Source organism: Homo sapiens, chromosome 8 (assembly GCF_000001405.40).
Source record: "Homo sapiens chromosome 8, GRCh38.p14 Primary Assembly".
NCBI lineage: Eukaryota > Metazoa > Chordata > Mammalia > Primates > Hominidae > Homo > Homo sapiens.
The window spans coordinates 8,656,377-8,679,522 of NC_000008.11; the positions used below are offsets into that span (position 1 = coordinate 8,656,377).

General features: G+C 42.9%; 1 long non-coding RNA gene across 1 annotated transcript, besides 1 other annotated feature; it reads left to right on the forward strand.

The window, feature by feature from the left end:
* Positions 8,172 to 9,371: an enhancer, noted in NCBI's record as "BRD4-independent group 4 enhancer chr8:8522058-8523257 (GRCh37/hg19 assembly coordinates)". NCBI's record gives its function as "activates an origin of replication core promoter dependent on BRD2, P300/CBP, MED14 and CDK7 cofactors, and independent of BRD4, by STARR-seq in HCT116 cells {active_cell/tissue: HCT116}" and the evidence as "EXISTENCE:reporter gene assay evidence [ECO:0000049][PMID:35650434]".
* LOC124901881 (uncharacterized) lies at positions 8,704 to 15,526 on the forward strand. Its single transcript, XR_007060801.1, has 2 exons — positions 8,704 to 9,016; positions 12,784 to 15,526. It is a non-coding gene; the product is annotated as an uncharacterized LOC124901881 (long non-coding RNA).
* The last annotated feature ends 7,620 nt before the right edge of the window (positions 15,527 to 23,146 follow it).

The window sequence follows — 23,146 nt, forward strand, 5'->3', positions numbered from 1 at the left end:
AACTTTAATAAATGCTAACTTACAAATTGAGCTCATTGGCCATAATTGCTTGCAACAGTAGGCACTAAACACAGAGATTAGCATAATTGTGATTATAACTCCCATTAGCATTTGTAATGTAATTATAGCCAAGTAACGTGCCAGGATGGAAAGATTCTACTAAAACTTCTCTCGCAAAGACACGAAAAGTGCATGCCCTTCCTCCAGGAGGTAGCATCACGGGGAGATGGCTCTGTGGTGAGGCCTTTAACCTCCCAGCATCTCACTTTTGCATCAGCAAAACATTTTGTGATTATTCAGTATACCTGGCAAGGATACACTGCTGGAAGAAAACTGTTTCTGCTTAAGATGGAGTCAGATTTTGACTTAAGGTGGACACATTTTGCCACCTGCCTGAAACCAGTATGAACACACACAAACAAGAACAGCAAAATGTATTAAATGACAGTTTGCAAGACGTTGGTTATCAGGCAATGAAGCACAGTGACCTCCAAGAGATGGGAAACAAATTAGTGGAGCCCTATTTTTGCCCCAGCTCACTGTCTTGAGACAGTTTCCAGACTGTGGCACAGGAAGGGAGAACCCAGGTAGAAGCTGGTGGACTCCTTTAGGCAAGAAGATGGAAATGAGAGTCCAGGGATAGCAAGGCAGCTGGAGTTTACAGGACAGAGAACCAGCAGAGATAGTTGTACAGAGAGAGAATCCTGGGATCTGGACGGGGTTCTGTCAATATTCACACAGTATTGATCGTGACAGCATGTGAAGATACTACTCAATGCCAGAGGGGCGAAAACATCTGAAAGGATCAGAGAAAAGCACACAGTGTTCACCAAGTGTCAAGACTATTAGCTGTTCCCTCCCACCAGCCAGCCAGGGAGAAAACACATTTTTGAACACTGGGCAGAATACTCATGAACATTCTGTCTTAGCGGTGGGAAATAATTAGCCGCAGACCAAACACTGCTCCAGATCCACCTCACAAATTATGAAATCTAAATCTGAAGGGCTCAAACTATACCCAAGCAACTTAATTGCATCCCAGAGAAAAGCTTAAGAACAGCTATAGGAAAGCAAAGTATCACGTATCCAAAAATGGTAGTAACCACAACGGGTGGTATCTGATAAGGATTATCAAACATAGAAAGTATAAGGAAAATATAACACATGATGGGGGAAATAATTCAAAACTGACTCGAAACTGACACAGATGTTATCATTAGTAGACGAGTACATTGAGCAATTATAACCATATTCCAGATATTCAAAAAGTTAAGTAGAGAAAAATGATTTAACAAAAATACTCTAATTGAACTTCTGTAAATAAAAAACTACAATATCAAAAATTTAAAAAATTGATGGGATTAATAGTAGATTAGACATAGCAAAAAAATAGATCTGTAAATTTGAAACCATGGCAATGGAAACTATCCAAAATAAAAACACTGAGAGGAAAAACAATTTTTTTTTTCTTTTTTTGACATAGAATCTCACTCTGTTGCCCAGGCTGGAGTAGAGTGGTGCAATCTTGGCTCACTGCAACCTCCGGCTCCCAGGTTCAAGCAATTATCCTGCCACAGCCTCCTGAGTAGCTGAGATTACAGGTGTGTGCCATCACACCTGGCTAATTTTTTTGTGTGTTTTTTTAGTAGAGATGGCGTTTTGCCATGTTGACCAGGCTGGTCTTGAACTCCTGAGCTCATGTGATCCACCTGCCTCGGCCTCCCAAAATCTGGGATTACATGTGTGAGCCACCACGCTTGTCTGGAAAAAAAATTTTTAATTAAAAGAGGATCAGTGAATTCTGAGACAACTTCAACTGGCCTAATACACGTGCAGTGGAGTTGCCAGAGGAGAGGAGAGGCAACTGAACAAATATTTGAAGAAATGACAGTTGAAAACATTGCAAACTTAATTGAAACTAAAAACTCACAGATCCAAGAAGTTCAACAAACCCCCAAGCAAAAGAAGCATGAAACAAAACACTAAGACATATCATAATCAAATTGTTAAAGAAATCAATAATAGACACAAAATATTAGAGCAGCCAGAGGAAAATAATAAGATGTTACATAAAGAGGAAACAAAAATAAAGATGAGAATAGATTTTTTTAATAGAAAACAATGTAAGCCAACAGACATCTTCAAAACATTGAAAGATAAAAACTATCAAGCTAGAATTTTACACCAAGCAAGAATATCTCTCAGAAACAAAGATGAAATGAAGATGTTTTCAAACATAGAAAAACTGAAAGAATTCACTAGCAAATCCACACTGCAAGACATTTTAGAGTCTTTTAGGCAGAAGGAAGTAAGGAGCTTCACAAAAAAGGAACACCAAAAATTGTAACTATATGTGATTTTTCTTATTAAATCTATTTACAAGATAACTGAATATTTAAACAAAAATAAGAACAATGTAGTTAAACTTCATACGTGTAAGTAAAATATATTACAGTGCTAGCAGAGCAACCAGGAGGGGGAAATAGAAATATTCTATTCTGTGATTCTTTTTATTTTATTTTATTTTATTTTTTTGAGATGGAGTCTCGCTCTGTCACCCAGGCTGGAGTGCAGTGGTGCGATCTCGGCTCACTGTAAGCTCCGCCTCCTGGGTTCACGCCATTATCCTGCCTCAGCCTCCTGGGTAGCTGGGACTACAGGCACCTGCCACCATGCCTGGCTAAATTTTTCTATTTTTAGTAGAGACAGGGTTTCACCATGTTAGCCAGGATGGTCTCGATCTGCTGACCTCAGCTCTGTCACCCAGGCTGCAGTGCAGTAGCACGATCTCGGATCTGCAACTTCCACCTCCTGGGTTCAAGTAATTCTCCTGCCTCAGCCTCCCAAGTAGCAGGGATAACAGGTGCCCCCCACCATGCCCAGCTAATTTTTTTTTGTATTTTTAGTAGAGATGGGGTTTCACTGTGTTGCCCGGACTGGTCTCAAACTCCTGACCTCGTGATCCACCCACCTTGACCTCCTAAAGTGCAGGGATTACAAGCATGAGCCACCACACCCAGCCTCTATTGTATGATTCTTACACATAAAGTGGTAGGTCAGACAAAAGAAGACAGTGAAAAATTAGAATTATATGCTCTCCACTATAAACTATATACACTATATTTTACTACTAAAATGACAAAAAGATTTATAGTTAGTAAGCCAATAATAAAAAAAAAATTATTTCAAGGATCAGTTAATTCAAAAGATGGCAAAAATAGAAAAAAGTGAGTAAAGAACAGATAGGACATCTAGAAAACAAACAGCAAGATGGCAGATTTAAACCTAATCATATCAATAATCACATTAAATGTAAATGAGCTAAACAATCTTGATTAACTGCAGAAATGGTCAGACTGGATTGAAAATCTAGACCGAAATAAATACTGTCTATAAGACATGCTCTTCTTGCTCTCCTGGCCCCCACCCACACTGGCACCAGGGAAAGGCCATGTAAGCACATAGTGAGAAGGTGGCTGTTGGCAAGCCAGGAAGAGAGCCCTCACCAGAACCCAAACATGCTGGCACCCTGATCTCAGACTTTCAGCCTCCAGAACTGTGAAAAAATAAATTTCTGTTGTTAAGTCAAAAGAAGAAGAAGAAGAGGAGAAGGAAATGTTCTTTATATATTAAAACATGGGTAAAGTAAAATAATTTAAAAATTATTTTTAATGATATACCATACTAATACTAATCAAAAGAAAATTGGAGTGGCAAATTAGTAACAGTGGCACACAATAACAGAGCTTCAAACTACATAAAGCAAAAATTGTTAGAACTACAAAGAGAACAAAATAAATCCAAAATTATACTTGGAGATTTCAATAATTAGCTCTCTGATTGACAGAAGTAAAAAGAAAGTCATCAAGCTTATCAAAGATTTGAAAGTCACTGTTAAGCAACTTGACATAATTGACGTTTATAAAACACTCCACCTAGCAACAGCAAAACACACAGTGTATTCAAAGACACACAGAGCATTTGCCAAGATAGACAATATTCTGGGCTATAAAACAAGTTACAATAAATTTGGAAGTGTTCATGTCATACTAAGTATGTTCTCTGACCACAATGGAAGTAAATTCAAATCGATTATGAAAAGATCTCTGGAAAATCCCAATTATTTGGATGATGGAAACTAAATAATACACAATTATATACTTGTAAATACTAAATGGATTAAAGAAGAAATCAAAAGAGAAATTAGAAAGTATTTTCAGTTAAATGAAAATGAACATATAGAAATTTTCAGGATGCTGTTAAAGCAGTTCTTAGGGTAAATGTGTAACACTATATGCCTACACTAGAAAGAAGAACGTTCTGAAATCAATTACCTCATCTTCAACCTTAAGAAACTAGAAAAAGTAAGACCAAATTAAATCCAAAGTTACAAGAGTGTTTGGACTTGCTCGTTAATAATAGCTTCTTTAATGTCCTTCTAGAATATTCTATTATCTGTGTCATCTAATCATTGGTGTCTGTTGATTTTCTTTTCCCATGCAAATGATACAGGAGCTAGAAATAAATTATTTAGGCAAATAGTGAGGGTAAAGAGTCTTCAGCAAGGCTTCCCTTCTAACAAAAAGTAGCCCAAGAAATTATTTTTTCTATCAAGGAGCAGCCTGAAAACTTAAGCTGCAAAGATAGATAATCAAGCTGGAAGCTTGCATGTGTGAATGCCAGCAGTGTACCAACAGAAAAGGGCTACCCGGGGGCCAGGCACATCCAACATGGAGGCTCCATCTTCCCTTCTCTTTATTACCAAGTGTACAGTAAAGAAACAGGCGACATGGCTGCAGCCAGGTAGAGAACCCATCCATAATACAAGATTAGGGTGGGAGAAGCCAGTTTTTCACACCCTATGCAAATGGCACACCTAGTCCTAACCAGCTTTTTTGTGCCTTATGCAAATGGCACACCTGGTCCGACCAATGTTTTGGGACCTGTATACATCAGACACTACCTCCTCAAGCTCTGCATTTCACCGTAGACTGGTGACCCGTTCAGGACCCCTATCTCTGCAGGAGAGAGCTCTTCTCTTTCTTTCACCTATTAAACTTCTGCTCTTAAGCTCACTCTTTATGTCTTAATGTCCTAGTTTTCTGTGGCTGTCAGACAACGAACCTCAGGTATTTACCCCAGACAACGATGCCACTTCACAATTAGAGGTTTTTTAATATCACAAGTAATTTTGGTTTGTATCCTGAACATTTTCAGTATTATGCTGGGTCTTGTTTCTATCTGCCAGTTCTATGGCTCTTAGAATTCTGGTGTTGTTCCCTGATTTCCTACTGTTATTTATTTTGCAGAGTTTTCAAATAGCTGTCATTGTACCCTGTCCAGGTTTCAGAGTTGGGCTTAGTGGGAGGTAGGCAGAATTCTAAGCTGGGTCCCAAGAGTCCTACCCCCTGGTTACATGTTCATTATGAGCCCCTTCCCTTGAATGTGAGCAGGATTTGTGGGTACAATGGAATACCACTCCCATAATTATTTTGCTTTATATGGCAGAAGAGATCTTGCAGATGTAATTAAGATCCCTAATCAGTTGACTTTGAATTAATAAAAAAAAGATTATTCTAGATGAACCTAATCTAATCGGATGAGCCTTTAAAAGGAGTCAGAGAATTTCAAAGCCAGATAGATGTCAGCCTTGAAGATGCAGCCTCTGTGAGTTCTCCAGTTGCAAGGAAATGGATTCTGCCAACAGCCACATGAGCTTGGAAGAGAACCCTGAGCCTCAAATGTGACCCCAATTGACACCTGATTGCAGACTTGTAAGAACTGGGGCAGAAAATCAAGCCAGCTGTGGTGGCTCACACCTATAATTCCAGCACTTTGGAAGGCCGAGGCAGGTGGATCACTTGAGGTCAGGAGTTCTAGACCAGCCTAGCCAACATGGCAAAACCCCATCTCTACTAAAAACAAAAATTAGCCAGGCGTGGTGCTGCATGCCTGTAATCCCAGTTACTTGGGAGGCTGAGGCAGGAGAATTGCTCGAACCTGGGAGGTGGAGGTTGCAGTAAGCTGGGATCGCACCACTGCACTCCAGCCTGGGTGACAGACCAAGACTCTATCTCAAAAAAAAAGCAATAAAAGAGAACTAAGGCAGAAAAGCCTGCCAGGACTTCTGACGTACAGAAACTGTGGCTCAAGCAATGATGTTGTATTAAACTTCTTCTTCTTCTTTTTTTTTTAAAAGACAGGATCTCTCTCTGTTTCACCCAGCCTGAAGTGCAGTGGTGCAATCTCAGCTCACTGCAACCTCCCAAGTTCAAGCGATTCTTCCACCTGGAGTAGCTGGGACCCCACCCCAACCAGCCATTTTTTGTATTTTTTGGTAGATGCAGGGTTTCACTCTTTTAGCTAGGCTGGTCTCGAACTACTGATCTCAAGTGATCCACCTGCCTTGGCCTCTCAAAGTGCTGGGATTACAGGTGTAAGCCACCTTGCCTGGCCAATCTTCTATGTTTATAGCAGTTTATTACACTGCAAAATTTAATAGACTTTATCCTACGTGAAACTGTGTCTTAAAAAAGAAATTCTAGGTACTCTATGTTTGAGCAAACGTTATCCTTTAAGTATTGATTAATACTCAATATGCTTTCTAACAAAGCTCTTTGTTGATTTTCCTTCCTCCGTATTCCCAATATAGAATTAGGGAAATAACTTAAAGATTCAGATCTCCTCAACATCAAATTTCCAGCAGTGTAGACTCTAGCAGCTCATCTTTGTGCAATTACAAGCTGCTTCATTACTTCTTTTCCTTTGCCCTCTTGGTTCATCAAGCTCACTGAGTTTTATGAAAGAAAAGCTAATCTTGCTATATAATTGCATTAATTATTGCCACATGAGCCACTCAGCAGGGACAAATAGCAAGCCTGGTATAATGAGTAAACTAGAAGAAGTAACCATTTATAGCCACTCATAGGATAGGCCAAGTCAAAGTTACCATGAAATGATAGGTTGTTTTCTCCAAAACATGACAGCTATCAAAAGAAAGTATAACTTTCATTTAAGATATGCAAGGTGGCCAGGCGTGGTGGCTCCTGCCTATAATCCTAGCACTTCTGGAGACCAAGGCAGGAGGATCACTTGAGCCTAGCAGTTCAAGGCCAGCCTCGGCAACATAGTGAGACCCTTGTCTCTACAAAAAATACAAAAATTAGCCAGGCATGGTGGCACATGCCTGTGGTCCTAGTTACTCGGGATGCTGAGGTGGGAGAATCACCTGAGCCAGGGAAGTTGAGACTGCAGTGAGCTGTGATCACAACACTGCACTCCAGCCTGGGCAACAAAGTGAGATTTTGTATATACATATATATATATATATGCAAGGTGTCATATCTATTCAATCTGCGTGTGGGGACACAGACAACATTGAAACACTGTAGCTTTTTTTTTTTTTTTTAGCTGGAGTCTTGCTTTGTCGCCCAGGCTGGAGTGCAGGGGCACAATCTCAGCTCGCTGCAACATCTGCCTCCGAGGTTCAAGTGATTCTTCTGCCTCAGCCTCCCAAGTAGGAGGGATTACAGGCACCTGCCATCATGCCCGGCCAAGTTTTGTATTTCTGTACAGATGGGGTTTCACCATGTTGGCCAGGGTAGTCTTGAACTCCCGACCTCAGGTGATCTACCAGCCTCAGCCTCCCAAAGTGCTGGGATTACAGGCGTGAGCCACCGCGCCCGGCCACAAAGCAGCATATCTCTTGTGATGCTTCTTGGGGGGAAAAGCAATCTGTAATGTAATCAAATTGTTTGAGAACTATTAATTACAAATAAACCCCTTCTTAGAGATGCACACTTAATAAAGATGACCCAGGTGTGTGCAGGAAAGAAAACTGTTTCACTTGAATTTCAATTTCATTCCAGAATTTCCCAATCTTATTTGATACATATTCTGTTCAGGTTTTAGAGTTGAGTTCAATGGAAGACAAGTGGAGATGTGTGCTTACTTCACACAGTAGGCAGAGTCATTTTGGAAGCAAACCTATCAAAATCCCTGGAAACTCAAATGTTTCTTCCTAGAAAATATTTTGGGAAATGTGGAGCTAGAGATTTAAATTCTTTCCATGTTTGTTTATCCTGTCCCCTCTTTCGGGTGATACTCCACTCTAGGTCAAGGGTTGATAATATGTCAAGTGGTGAGAAAAATTCCAAGCATAGCTAATGGAAATTGCCACCCCAACCTCACCCCCAGCTGATGTCAAGCACTCATGCAGTCCGTGGTCTCTGCAGATAAAAATGCATCCTCAGTGACTCAAGAATTCCAGGCATTCTGATCAGTTGCGTACTGTCTCCCCAAAGCATTCAACAGACATTCTCCAAGCACCTATCTTGCGCTAGGCTCAGTGCATTACCAGCAAGCATCCCAGGCAGGGCACTCATTTTGCAAGCTCGCAGAAAGTGTGGTCATGCCAAGTAAGTGTCCAGGAGGGATTATAATTCATGGGCTTCTGGGGAAGAGGATGAGCAGCCAGCCTGGAAGGTAACAGACAGTCCCAGCACAAAAACCCTTCAACAAGGTCATGGGGTAAGAGCTGCCATCTCCCAGGCAGGGCTCTGGATGGGCCCGGATGGATGGGATAGCAAACTCACTCCGTAAAAGCAAAGGAAATTTGTGACAGGCATCAGCCACTGAAAAAAAATGTCTTCAAGTTGACAGCAGAGCAGGAAGTAGGAAAGGGAGAAATGGAAGAAACTGAAAGAATAAATTACTTTCCACTTTGCAATGATTCTAAGATGTAGACTTTTTTCACCTTTTAACAGCTCTGAATTCTCTGACATTGGAATAGATCGAAAGCATCCTACAATCGCCGCCCGCCAGGCGCCCACGTGACCTCGTTGTCTTTGCGGCATGTGCAAACTTGTTCACAGCTGTGGCTGTTGTCATCACTTCAGCGGGATTATGTGCACTGTTGGCACTTCATGTGCCGGGTTTAATTGCCATGTAAAATGCCTTCAGAAAGATTATACTATGATTCAGCATTGAAAGGAAAACTTACGGTGTATTCAGAAAGGTGAGGAGACAGAGCGGGTGGGGCGGGGGGGTACATACATTTGTTATTTGTGAAGTGAATATTCATGACGGGAGGAATGCTTGCAATTCCATATTCTCTTGCAGAACAAACCAAGTGCTTTACAACCTTGCTGCTCAAAGTGTGGTCCACAGACCAGCAGCATCGCCTGGGAGATGGATCGAAATTCTGAATTTCAGGCTCTGCCCCAAACCTACTGAATCAGGATCTGCATTTTAACAAAGTCCCATTGATTTGCAGGCATATTAAAGTCTGAGTGCCCTGCTTTAGTGAACATAAAGTGAAGCTAATTCATACCGAATTATCGAGCTATAAAAAGGGAATGCCCAGCAGAAGCCAAGCAGTGCAGCTGAAGGCAGGGGAAATTGTCAAGCCCTTTAGAATCCATGAAAGAAATTCCAACGCAACAAAGAGGTTGGTGTGGCCAATTCACTCATCAGGCAGGCCTGTCATTAAGACACCATGTCATAGTCTCATTGACAATGATTTTTCCTCTCTTTGTGGTACATCAGCTAATGATGGAGCTTAAAATGAAGGACATTTTAGATTCAATTAAATACGGCAAGTGGTATTTCTCCAGGGCACTGTAAGAGATTAAAATAAAGGCATCTCCATCAGTGAGGCGGAGCTGGGAGGCAGCAGAAGAGGGACAGTGCCACTGCAGTCCAAGCGGGAGAAGCAAGGACACTAGGAAAGTTCATGAGTCACCCAAGACCTGGCCAGGGCAAGGGAGGGACACATGGGGGCTGAGGTCCCTGTAACATTGCTGGTCGTGAACCATCCTGCCTGCATACTGCAGGTTCTACAGCTACTTCAGACCTCCAACTAAAAATAATAATAATAATACTCAATTCCTTATTCTTTTCAAATAATTGTTAAAATTATTATTATTATTTTGAGGCACAGTCTCACTCCATCGCCCAGGCTGGAGTGCAGTGGCACTATCTCAGCTCACTGCAACCTCCACCTCCCGTTCAATAATTCTCATGCCTCAGCCTCCCGGGGAGCTGGAAATACGGGCCTGTGCCACCACACTCAACTAATTTTTGCATTGTTAGTAGAGACGGGGTTTCACCATGCTGGACAGGCTGGTCTCAAACTCCTGACCTCAAGTGATCTGCCTGCCTCGGCCTCCCAAAGTGCGGGGATTACTAGCATGAGCCACTGTGCCCACCCTCAAATAATTTTTATAGCCATTATTTTGTACTTCTTTCTTCAATAACTCTTAGTGTTTTAACACCTCATCATCTCACTGAGCCCCAAAACAAACCCTAGGGAGAAGCAGCGTGAACTGAAGTCTGAAGTGTGGGCAGTGCTGTCGTTTTCCCTGTGGAGATGGGGAAATATGTCTGGGATTATCCTGTTGGTAAATGGTGGAATTGGGATTAGAATCCCAGAATTCTGACAACGCTTTCATTTTTTATTTTATTAATTAATTAATTTTTTGAGATGGAGTCTCAATCTGTCACCCAGGCGGGCATGCAGTGGTGCGATCTCGGCTTCCTGCCTCCCGGTTTCAAGGGATTCTCCTCCTCACCCTCCTGAGTAGCTGGGACCACAGGAGTGCACCATCACTTCAGGCTAATTTTTGTATTTTTAGTAGAGACAGGTTTTCGCCATGTTGGCCAGGCTGGTCTTGAACTCCTAATCTCAGGTGATCAGCCTGCCTTGGCTTCCCAAAGTCCTGGGATTATAGGCGTGAGCCACCGCGCCCGGGCTCTGACTATACTTTTGAAGTTCTAACTAGGAAGACATCTGGAGCAACTTGATCACCCCAGGTAATGGCAGAAGCCCTGACTCTTCCTTGGACCTCCTCTGATACCATCCTAGTGGGGAAGTAGAGGGACATGTCATTTCTTCCCTTGGAGGCAGGAATCTGGGCTCCCCATGTGGCCTCTGCTGACATTGCAAGGATGGAGCTCATCACAGGAGGGGAGAGAATGTCCCTGTTCGCTACTTAAACTTCTGTGACCCTATCCTGGCTGGGAGGTCAGGATGCCTTATTCCAGTGTCATGAGGATAGAAGCCCAGCCTCCCCATTCAGCCTTGCAAGGAGGGAGTTTTTGGTGGGGTTTGTCTAGAAAAGAGCAGTGATTTCCCAAATTTTCCATCTTACTAGCTTGTGTCTTTCCTTGTCCTTTAGCTAGAGAGAGCAGGGTTTTGTTGGTGCTTTCTTGCCTCTACCACTTGGGACTTCTGGGTTACTGGCCTCATCAGCTCCAAATCTGAGATATATGAGGCAGTGAGAGAGGGAGAGAAAGAAAGACAAGAGAGAAACCAGGACATCCTGGCTAACACCGTGAAACCCTGTCTCTACTAAAAAATATAAAAAATTAGCCGGGCGTGGTGGCGGGCGCCTGTACTCCCAGCTACTCGGGAGGCTGAGGGAGGAGAATGGCATGAACCCAGGAGGCGGAGGTTGCAGTGAGCCGAGATCATGCCAGTGCACTCCAGCCTGGGCAACAGAGAGAGACTCCATCTCAAAAAAAAAAAAAAAAAAGAGAGAAACCAGGGCATTCACCACTGTGTTGTTCCTCGGATCCCGGGGTTTCAAGCTGGTCTGCCTTCTTTTCTTTACCTCTCAGAGTTTTACTGTCTTTGACATGCAATGCCCATGATGTCCAGTTGTATTTAGTGGGAGGTATAGAAAACAGTGTGTCTACTCCATCTGCCCAGAAGCAGAAATCCTGCTTTCGCAAAAGAAGTTTAACTGGAGCAGAGCCTTGGCCCTTTCTTTACATGTTATCTGCAGCTGTTTCCCTGCTGCAACGCAGAGGTGAGCAACTGAAGGAAATCTGTGTTGAGTCCTCCTCCACAGCCTACTTCTTTACAAATTGCAGATTTTGGTTGCCTCTATGTAAAGCTATTGCATTACAGCAATTCTCCATACTTCTAACACTTCTGGTAATTTCACATCTGCTGAGCCAGAAAGTTTCTCGCAGCTCCTTCAGCATATCCTGTCTTGGAGCACAGGAGAGATTACAGCAGAATCTCTGCTTAAGTAACCTCGTTTCCTGACCACTGGATTCCACCCTTAGCAACAAATGGCAGACTCTCTAAGCTCCTCTGCGGTGGGTAGAAAATGGTTGCCCAAAGATATCAGGTCTGTGAAACCTGTAAATGATACCTTACAAAGAAAAGTCTTTGCAGATATGAGTGCGTGAAGGATCTTAAAATGTGGAGATTATCTTGGATTATCTGAGTGTGTCCTAAATGCCATCATGGTGGTTTTTGTTGTTGCTGTTGTTGTTGTTGTTGTTTTTGAGATGCAGTCTCGCTCTGTCACCCAGGCTGGAGTGCAGTGGTGCTATCTCGGCTCCCGGCAACCTCCACCTCCAGGGTTTAAGCAATTCTCCTATCTCAGCCTCCCAAGTAGCTGGGATTACAGGTGCCCGCCACCACACCTAGCTAATTTTTGTATTTTTTGGTAGAGATGGGGGTTTGCCACATTGGCCAGGCTGGTCTCGAACTCCTGACCTCAGGTGATCCACCCACTTCAGCCTCCCAAAGTACTAGGATTACAGACGTGAACCACTGTGCCCTGCCAAGTTGTGTGGTTTTTGTTTTGTTTTTTGTTTTTTGAAAAGAGAGAGATTCAACACACAGAAGAGGAAGAACAGCTCTACCAGATTTCAAACTTTCTACCTCTAGAGCTGCGAAATACGTTTCTGTTGTTTTTAAGCCTCTGAATTTGTGTAAAATTACTAAGAAATTAACCACCAACCCTCTGTTCATTTTGACACCAATAGAGCAGACACCTTCATAGAACTCCCTCATCCCACACAAGACGCAAGTCAGAAAAAACAAATCTCTACTCAATTGTCCTGCTGTCTGTGACCTGGGAAAAGAGACTGTCTGAGGGATGAGTTGGGTCTCTTGTAACTGCAACAAAGTGAATGTCTCCGGATGTTCTAAAAGACCCTTCTCAGAGGCCCCAGGAACCTTCCTGCAAACCAAGACTTCCCTCCAGGCACCTTGTTTACCCCGATGTGACCAATTCTATCTATGCAGAAGCTGCCTATCCAGTTTTTAATATAAGTTGGGCAGATGTCAGCTCAAGAAGAAGGAATGAGGGGAGGCACTCAAAGGCGACTCTCACCAAAAAGGATTTCTTCGTATTCTGACTTCCAGAGTACAGTCGCTATCTATAAAATGTAAGTCAGTATCTTTTATCACGCTTCATCCTAGGAGGTGCGTGCACTATGGTTCTCAGTTTTGCAGATGAGGACATTGTGGCTTGGAGAGCTTAGGGCATTTAAACAGCAAAAATGGCAGAGTCCCTGAAAGATGTGCCCGGGTATTTAGACCACATCTTAAGGGATTTCTCAAAGATGCCACTGCCTTCCTGAAGGAAACCTAGGCAAACCCTGCTGGAGGCATTGCTCGTAAATCACTGTCAATTTTCTTTATTCCCCTCTCCTGCCCATCTCTGCCACAATGCAGTGACAAAAGACCGTGTCTTGGTACACTGCATGTCACTCCCTGAGATTTGCTGACACCTGCAGACAAATGAGAGGATTGCACTGAGTTTGCATTAAAAGGTATTAGAGGCCAAGCGCCGTGGCTCACGCCTGTAATCCCAGCACTTTGGGAGGCCAAGGTGAGTGGATCACTTGAGCTCAGGAGTTTGAGACCAGCCTGGCCAACATGGTGAAACCCCGTCTCTACTAACAATACAAAAATTAGCCAGGCGTGGTGGCGCGCGCCTGTAGTCCCAGCTACTTAGGAGGCTGAGGCAGGAGAATTGCTTGAACCTGGGAGGTGGAGGTTGCAGTGAACCAAGATTGCACCACTGCACTCCAGCTTGGGCAACAACACAGCTGAGACTCTGTCTGAAAAAAAAAAAAAGTATCAGAGCTGCTTGCAGGAAACCCCAGACCCAGGAAAGGCCGTATCATCTCTGGAGAAGATGATGCAGACCAGGACAGAGAGCACTAGGAGTAGGTCTGCAGAGATCCGAGCAGCCCCTCTGGTCCAGGCCATGCGGTCAGGTGCACGGACTCCCGTTGCACCTTATTGCCCTGAGGCGTGGTCTGATGAGAGGCCTCAGGTGTTCTTTATTCTGGGCAACGTGTAATCAGTGATTATTTCTAACAATGCAAATAGTAAAACTACCTTAGCCACTCACTGGGTAACCCTGAGCAACTCCTTTAGTTAGGAGTCAGCCTAACTAAATTCTTATTGATATAATGTATATTTATATTAATTTTTTAAAAACCATAAACCCATACACAAAACCAAAATCTCTGATAACAATTGGGCCTGAAGTCGACTATGAGGTCTGGGCTTTTGAGAGAATGAAGTACCAACTCTTTCCGGTAGGTGGAGCCAAAAGATCACACCTGAAGCGCATTTCAGTTCAGCCCTCCCAGGCGGCAGGGCGGGGTACCAGCATTTTCTAGCTCTTAATAACCTTTACATTGTCGGGGGATCAGTGAAGAAGGTTATAAAGAGCTTGTATTCATCCACCCCATTCATATGTCCCCCACATTAGCAGTCCTTTTATTCATAACGTACTCTCCCACCACGACCACCACATTATGAATAAATGAGACCTACCACCTGCAATGCCTGGCCTTTCTCCCTGTAGCCATCACCTCTCCAATCTTTCCCCAATCTCAGGCCTAAAATCGTCAAATCAGGGTATCCAAATGCCAAAATGTTCCCCCTCACAGATGCTACTTGTCTCTCAACCTTGCTTATGAAAAAGGAAAGAAACTAATGTCCGTAGAGAATAGACTATATTTCAGGCATTTCCACATGTCACTTGATCCCAATAATAATGGCAATCATCGTAATAGCTGCTGTTTTGGGACATTTACTATAAGCCAAGTGCCATGCTAAGTACTTTTATATATTATCTCATTTAATTCTCTTAGGATGACTGTAAAATGGCATTATCATACCCACTTCACAGTTCTGGAAACTGAAATTCAGAGAGCTTGGTAAGCACAGGATAGCGCATGTTGGAAGGCACATCAGGATTAATTTACATTTCATGAGCATCTCGCCCCTACTTCTGTTGTTGTATAGTCTCTCACTTACACCAGGGCTCTTTCTCTGGGAACACAGGGGCAAGAGGGGGAGGCCAGTTGTTGGGGAAGAGGAGAAAGGGAAGAGGACTGGCGCTCCTTCCACTATGAAGGGGAGATATGCTCAGGGTACCCTGTTCTAGACCCTATCTAGATGAGACCCTTGACCTGCATCACCTTATCTCCCTCCTCCTTACCAAAATAACCTAAAACTTTTCCCATAGAAACAATAGTTTTGGTTTTTTGTTTTATTTTGTTTTGTTTTGTTTTTGTTGTTTTTTTGCTATAGCCCTAATATCATTATTCAACTACTTAATAGGTTAAATAGGATTTTTCAAATACACTGGGAATTGATCGATCTTCACTAATAAACTATTTTTACAGGAATGCCATTGAGGCTCCAAGTAAACGTCTTGCAATATTTTAGATTATTAAATTGCATGTACTTTGAATATTCGCATCCCAGAGTCAACAGATTTTGCAATTATTTTCTGTTAGAACGTAAATGGATGGTTATGTGAATGGATGGGTGGATGGATGGATAGACAGGTGGATGAATGGATAGATGGGTGGGTGGATGGATGGATGCAAGGATGGATGGATGGAGAGATGGGTGGATGGATGGATGGATGGATGGATGGACAGGTGAATGGATGGATGATGGATAGATGGGTGGATGGATGAATGGATGGCTGAGAATCTGGGCAATAAATAGAGTGAGTTAAGATGTGGTGCTTATGAGACCAAGGATTTGGTCCCATGTAGACCAATCAATTTCATTCGTTCCTGGAGCAATTTACATGTATTCCTATTCTACTGAGCCATCTCAGAAATGTATACTATCAGTTACAAAGGGAATTATGTGACAGTATACAGATAGAGTAAAACAACTCATCTTTACTACTATAAAAGTAGCTGAAAATTTGTACCTTATTATGATGGCTCAGCAGCATCTCTTTACATTCTAGTTTTCAGAACTTCCATAGCATCCAATTCACTCCTCTATTAGTTCATCTACAGCACAAAATGAATTGTAAACATCTACTTATCCACTGTACACCAACTAGAATGGCTATTATTTTTTTAAATGGGAAACAAGTGTTGGTGAGGAAGTGGAAAAATTGGAACCTTTGAACATGGCTGGTAGAAATCTAAAATGGTGTTACTGCTGTGGAAAATAGTTTGGTTCCTCAAAAAGTTAAACATAGAATTGCCATATGACCTAGCAATTCCAATCCTTGATACATATCCAAAAGAACTAGAAGCAGGGTCTAAACAGATACCTGTATAACAATATTCACAGCAGCTTATTTACAATAGCTAAAAGATAGAAGCAACTCAAGTGCCCATCAACACATAAATGAATAAACAAAATGTGGTGTACACTCACAATGGAATATTATACAGCCACAAAAATGGATGAAATTTTATATATGCCACAGGGATGACCCTTGAGAACATTATGCTTAGTGAAATAAGCCAGATACACAAGGACAGAAGGAACTGTATGATTCCACTTATATGAGGTACTAATAAATAGTATACTTACAAATGGCTAAAATGATAAATTTTATAGTATATACATTTTATAATACTACAATTTTAAAAAAACTATTTATGTACCTAACTTCCTCACTGGATTGTAATTTACCAAAGCATCAGATCTCATTCATTTTTGTATCCTCAACTTCAAACACAGAACCTAACACACAGGAACTAAAATAAATGACATCGGCCGGGCGTGGTGACTCATGCCCGTAATCCCAGCACTTTGGGAGGCAGAGGCAGGCAGATCACCTGAGGTCAGCAGTTCGAGACCAGCCTGGCCAACATGCTGAAACCCCATCTCTACTAAAAATACAAAAATTAGCCAGGCATGGTGGCAGGTGCCTGTAATCCCAGCTACTTGGGAGACTGAGGCAGGAGAATCGCTTGAACCCGGGAGGCAGAGGCTGCAGTGAGCCGAGATCGTGCCATTGCACTCCAGCCCGGGCAACAAGAGTGAAACACCGTCTCAAGAAAATAAATAAATAAATGACATCAAATTAAAAATATAAAAATACACAGACAGAAATCGTCGATTTAAAATTCCTTATAAACACATGCATATGTACACGCAAACAAGAACTGGAGAGACCCAATCTATCGGATGTCTTACTATCTGCATTTTTAAAATTTCATTCACTCCACACATGTATAATGAGCATGCCCACTCTGCCAGGCTCTGGGATATATCACTGAAGAAGACAAAGCTTCTGTCCGTACAGAGCACACGCCGTACAGAAACATGCTAAATGACATAAATCATAAATATAGGCCAGGCACGGTGGCTCCTGCCTGTAATCCCAGCGAAACTGCCTCTGCAAAAATTATAACTGAGGAAATTATGACAGTGAAAGAGATCAGACCCAGCCGACTCCATCTTGCTTCTAACTTTTAAGCCGTGCTTGTTCATTCCTGGACGTAGGTTGAACTAACTCTGGGAAGGAATTCAGTTGGTGGGATGACTGAAACAAAATCGATAACAGTCCTTTCCCGAAAAGACTCCCTTCTTGCCTGGGAACCAGTCTGCCTTCGCAGCACTAACAAATTAGTGACAAGATTAGAAATTACGGTTTACGGACCATGCAGTGTCTAGCTTCAAGAGTCGGAACCTCCACAAATTGCTCCTAGAGATAACATCACTATTGTAAAACCTAAGATCAGTGCTGGAGGTATTTCGCAGACCTTGCACTAGAGATGGATCAGCTGATATCACCCAGACTGATAATCTAGCCCAACCAGTCCTGCCGTCCCACCCAGGAACAGAAGACAGCAAGAAAAACTCACTTCGACCCCCTGTGATTCCATCTCCAACCTGCCAAGTCAGCACTCCCCACTTCCCAAGCCCTTACCCGCCAAATTATCTTTAAAAATGCTGATCTTTGAGTAATAATAAAACTGCTATCTCCTGCATAGCCATCTCTGCGTGAATTACTTTCTCCACTGCAATTCCTACGTCTTTTTTTTTTTTCTTTCAGACAGAGTTTCTCTCTTGTTGCCCAGGCTGGAGTGCAGTGGCACCATCTCGACTCACTGCAACCTCCACGTCCCAGGTTCAAGTGATTCTCCTGCCTCAACCTCCCAAGTAGCTGGGATTACAGGCACACACCACCGCACCCGGCTAATTTTGTATTTGTAGTAGAGACAGGGTTTTACCATGTTGGCCAGGCTGGTCTCAAACTCCTGACCTCAGGTAAATCACCTGCCTTGGCCTCCCAAAGTGCGGAGATGACAGGCATGAACCACCATGCCCAGCGCCCCCGTCTCGATAAATCGGCTCTGTCTAGGCAGCAAGCAAGGTGAACCCATTGGGCTGTTACACCAGCACTTTGGAAGGCTGAGACAGGCAGATGGCTTGAGCTCAGGCGTTCAAGACCAGCCTAGGCAACATGGCAAAACCCAGTCTCTATTAAAAATACAACAAAAAAGTAGCCAGGCTTGGTAGTTTGTGCCAGTGGTCCCAACTACTCAGGAGGCTGTGGTGGGAGGATCGCTTGAACTTGGGAAGTGGAAGTTGCAGTGAACTGCACTCCAGCCTAGGTGACAGAGCAACACCCTATCACAAATGAAAAAAGAAAAAAAAGTAAATATAACCCCAGGTTCTGGAGGGCCATGGGGAAGTGCTTGAATGGTGTGAGGGACTCCTTTTGCAAAGCACAACAGGGAAAGTCTCTGAGAAAATAACATCTGAGCTCTAAATGATGAGAGAGGACCACGGTGTGACAACCTCAGGGAGCAAATTCCTAGAAGAGGGATGAGCCTCTGCAAAGGCTCTAAGGGAAGAAGAAGCACAGCATGTGAGAGAGACAGAAAAACCGTCACCGAGGCCAGATCACAGTGGGTGAGGAGGAAAATGAGAAAGAGGTATGTGCAGAACAAGTCGGGGGACCAGGTCATGTTGGACCGCAGGCCAGGCCAAAGAGTTGGTATTCCATTCTAAGGGTAGTAAGAGCTTTCGGGCTTTTCAAGCCTGATCTGACTTATGCTTTCAAGAGATAACTATAGCTTCTGTATGGCTACTGGGCCATCAAGGTACAAGATACTGGCAGGAACCCAGATGAACGGTGATGGTGGCTTGGATTACAGCTTTAGTCAGGGAGATGATAAAGAGTGGTTGGGTTCAAGATACATTTTGGAAGCTGCCCAGATAGAACCTGTTGATGCACTGGACATGAAAAGAAAAAGAAAGCGGTCAAGGGTGACTTCTAGGCCAGGTGCGGTGGCTCACGCCTGTAATTCCAGCACTTTGGGAGGCCAAGGCGGGCGGATTACCTGAGGTCAGGAGTTTAAGACCAGCCTGGTCAACATGACAAAACTCCATCTCTACTAAAAATACAAAAATTAGCCAGGTGTGATGGTGGGCGCCTGTAATCTCAGCTACTCGGGAAGCTGAGGCAGGAGAATCACTTGAACCCAGGAGATGAAGCTTGCAGTGAGCCGAGATCACACCATTGCACTCCAGCCTGGGCAACAAGAGTGAAACTCCATCACAAAAAAAAAAAAAAAAAAAAACAAGGGATGACTTCTAGTTTTTTGTCTGAGCAGCTAAATTAAAGAGAGGTCCATGCAGGAAGAAAAGGAAGACTAGGCAAGAAGTGGGTGGGATGAAGACAGGGGAGAAGTTCACATGGACAGTTTGCTTTGGATCATGTTAAGTTTGAGGTGCCTCTTAGAAATCCAAGTGGACAATTCCATATGCAATTCTGGAGCTCAGATGAGAGGCTAAGGGTCTTCAACATATGCATAAGATGACTTGATGGCCTTAGCAGCAGGGAGAGACAGAGGAGAAGATATCCCAGATCAAAATCCTGGAGCACCCCCACATTTAGAAATCCACCAAGGAGAAGGGAACTAAGGAGATAAGTAAAAGAGTCGTGTCAGTGGAGGAATTCCAGGCAACAGTGCAATCCTGGAAGCCTGGAGAAAACTACATTTCCAGAAAAGCAGAGTGTTCAGCTGTGTCAAATGCTGCTCTGAGGACAGGAAATTGACAGGAATTGACCATGAGATTTAACAGATATGGAGGTCATTGTGGAACTTGATGGGCTAGAGCCAAAGAACTAATTGGAGCAGGATGATGACAAGAGTCTGTGAGAATGGAGGCCTAATATCAAGTCTTTTGAGAGGACACGCTTTGTTCAGAAGCAGAGCCCTAGAGCAGTAGCGGAAAGGAGATGTGCGATCCACAGAAGAAATTTTAAAGATGGCACCACGCAGGATACTGTATTATCTCAATTTTTACAATCGCACCATGCTACAGGTATTATTGTCCTCATTTTATGCATGAGAAACCTGAAACAGAAAAGTGAATTCCTCACGCATCAAAATTTTTAAAACCTAAAGAACAGCAAATGCTATTATTACGTGAGACCTGAACTGTTTCCACAGGACCCTCATGTCTCCCGATAAAATACAACAGCAAAGGTCAAGTACTTTTGTTTTCCTGTTCAACAGAATGACGCAGTCGTATGCCAAGCAGCCTAAGCGGCCTTATTTGTATCTTTCTGTTACTTGTTGACTTCGAATCTTTGATTAAATACAGGAAGCTTTCTGTCACTTTTGAGTCACTGGTCAGTATCTGCCTTGATCAAGCCTGAATTTGGTTTCCAAGCTGGCAGTCTTTCTTCTAGCTATGCCTCTCAAATCTTTCACATGAAATGATGCAACAAGTTTTTAGGTCATCAAAAGGTATTTTGCTGTTATTGTTGCTTTAACTCTTAAAATTGGTAACCTTAGTAGTACCCAAGATTTCAAGACTTATCAAGGCTGACACAGTCTATAGAAAGTCCAATTTTGTCTTAAACCATGACAGATTACCCTTAAAAGGAATAAACTCAAGCATTTATTTTACTGAGATTAAAAGACATATATTTACTAAGTGTCTGCTCTATGCCAGGAATGGTGTTAGAGGGAGGCTGGTAGAAAACACAAAATAGGCTGGGCACGGTGGCTCATGCCTGTAATCCCAGCACTTTGGGAGGCTAAGGCAGGTGGATCACCTGAGGTCGGAAGTTTGAGACCAGCGTGGCCAACATGGCGAAACCCCATCTCTACTAAAAATACAAAAATTAGCCAGGCGTGGTGGTGCACACCTGTAGTCCCAGCTACTCAGGAGGCTGAAGCAGGAGAATCACTCGAACCCGGGAGGGAGAGGTTGCAGTGACCTGAGATCGCGCCACTGCACTCCAGCCTGGATGACAGCCCAAGACTCCGTCTCAAAAAAAAAAGAAAAAAGAAAAGAAAAGAAAACACAAAGTTGCCAGTGCCCTTGCAGTTGTGTGACAGAGCAACCACGGGAGACCCTGGGAAAACCAGCCCGGAGAAATCTGCCTAGGGGTGAATAGTAACCTATTTGGTGTGAGCTGAGAAAACTCTATATTTGAATTTATATGCAAAACAATCGATTCATTATATCATTATATGCACTGAAGGCAACAGCATTTTTATTTATTTGCAATCGTCCTAGAATTAGTTTTTAAAAAGCGTGTTGAAAGTTCTTATAACTTTTTTATATTAAATAATATACAGCTATTTAGAATAAAATACACACACATGCTATGAATAGAACTAGTTATAGTAAATTGTTTTAAGTCTAGATAAAATTATATTATTATGTAAATTATATAACACAACAGCATACATAATCATACTACATGTAGTATTCTATTTATATTAAAGTTTTCATTTTAGATAATAAACCTAATCTGTTATTCTTAGAAAAATACACTATGCCAAAAACTGTTCGTGCTAGAACTGCGGCTGACCACAACTGCCAAATTCAGGTCCCGCTCAGGTGGTATCTGGCTGAGGAGGGCAGTTCTTTTTTTGGGATGGAGTCTCGCTCTGTTTGCCCATGCTGGAGTGCAGTGGCACAATCTTGGCTCACTGCAACCTCCACCTCCCAGGCTCAAGCGATTCTCCTGCCTCAGCCTCTTGAGTAGCTGGGATTACAGGCACCCGTCACCACGCCTGACTAATTTTTGTAATTTTTTTTTAATAGAGATGGGGTTTCACCGTGTTGGCCAGGCTGGTCTCAAACTCCTGACCTCAAGTGATCCACCTGCCTCCGTCTCCCAAAGTGCTGGGATTACAGGTGCCCGGCTGAGAAGGGCAGTTCTTAATGGCTCTGCACAACTTGCTGGTGTGCACTCACAAGTAGTCAACAGAGGTAGAGTATGACACCCAGGAGGCGTTTTACACTCCCTGTGTTGCAGAGTGGTTGGGCCCAGGGTCTGCTTTCCTGGTTCTGTAAGAAGGAGTGTACAGAGAGCTGAAGTCATTGGCTCCGTGTTTCTGATTTGTTCTTATGGCATATTCATATCCAAAGAAGCTTCCTCGAGGCCAGCTTCCTTCTCCCCTTCTCTGTCTCTGCTTTAACCAGAAATTCTTTTCCTTCAGCTCAAATTACCAACATTTAAAAGGGAAAGATTCTAGGAGGAATAACCATAAAATAATTTAGGGCTAGCAATGTATGTATTAGTCTGCTTTCACACTGCTGATAAAGACATACCCGAGAATGAACAATTTATAAAGAAAAAGAGGTTTAATGGACTCACAATTTCATGCAGCTGGGGAGGCCTCACAATCATGGCGGAAAGGGAAAGGCTCGTCTTACATAGAGGCAAACAAGAGAGAAAGAGGACCAAGTGAAAGGGGTTTCCTTAAAAAACCAAAAGATATTGATAGACTTACTCACTACCACAAGAACAGTATAGGAGAAACCACTCCCATGATTCAATTATCTCCCACTGGGTTCTTCCCACAACACATGGGAATTATGGGAGCTACAATTCAAGATGAGATTTGAGTGGGGACACAGCCAAACCAATGTACATTGGATGTGTGAATGTATAAAATTCCTTGTGTCCCAAATGGAGGGCTTTGAGAATGTAGGATGCTGAGTGGCAGAAGTTTTCCTCTGCCCTTGGGAAAAGAAGGCAGGCTTCAAAGACAACCTTAGCTTCTTCACAAAAATGCCCTTTGCAGCTCCTGTTTCCATGGGGATGGAAATATGTAACTGAGAGTTGTGATGGGTTGA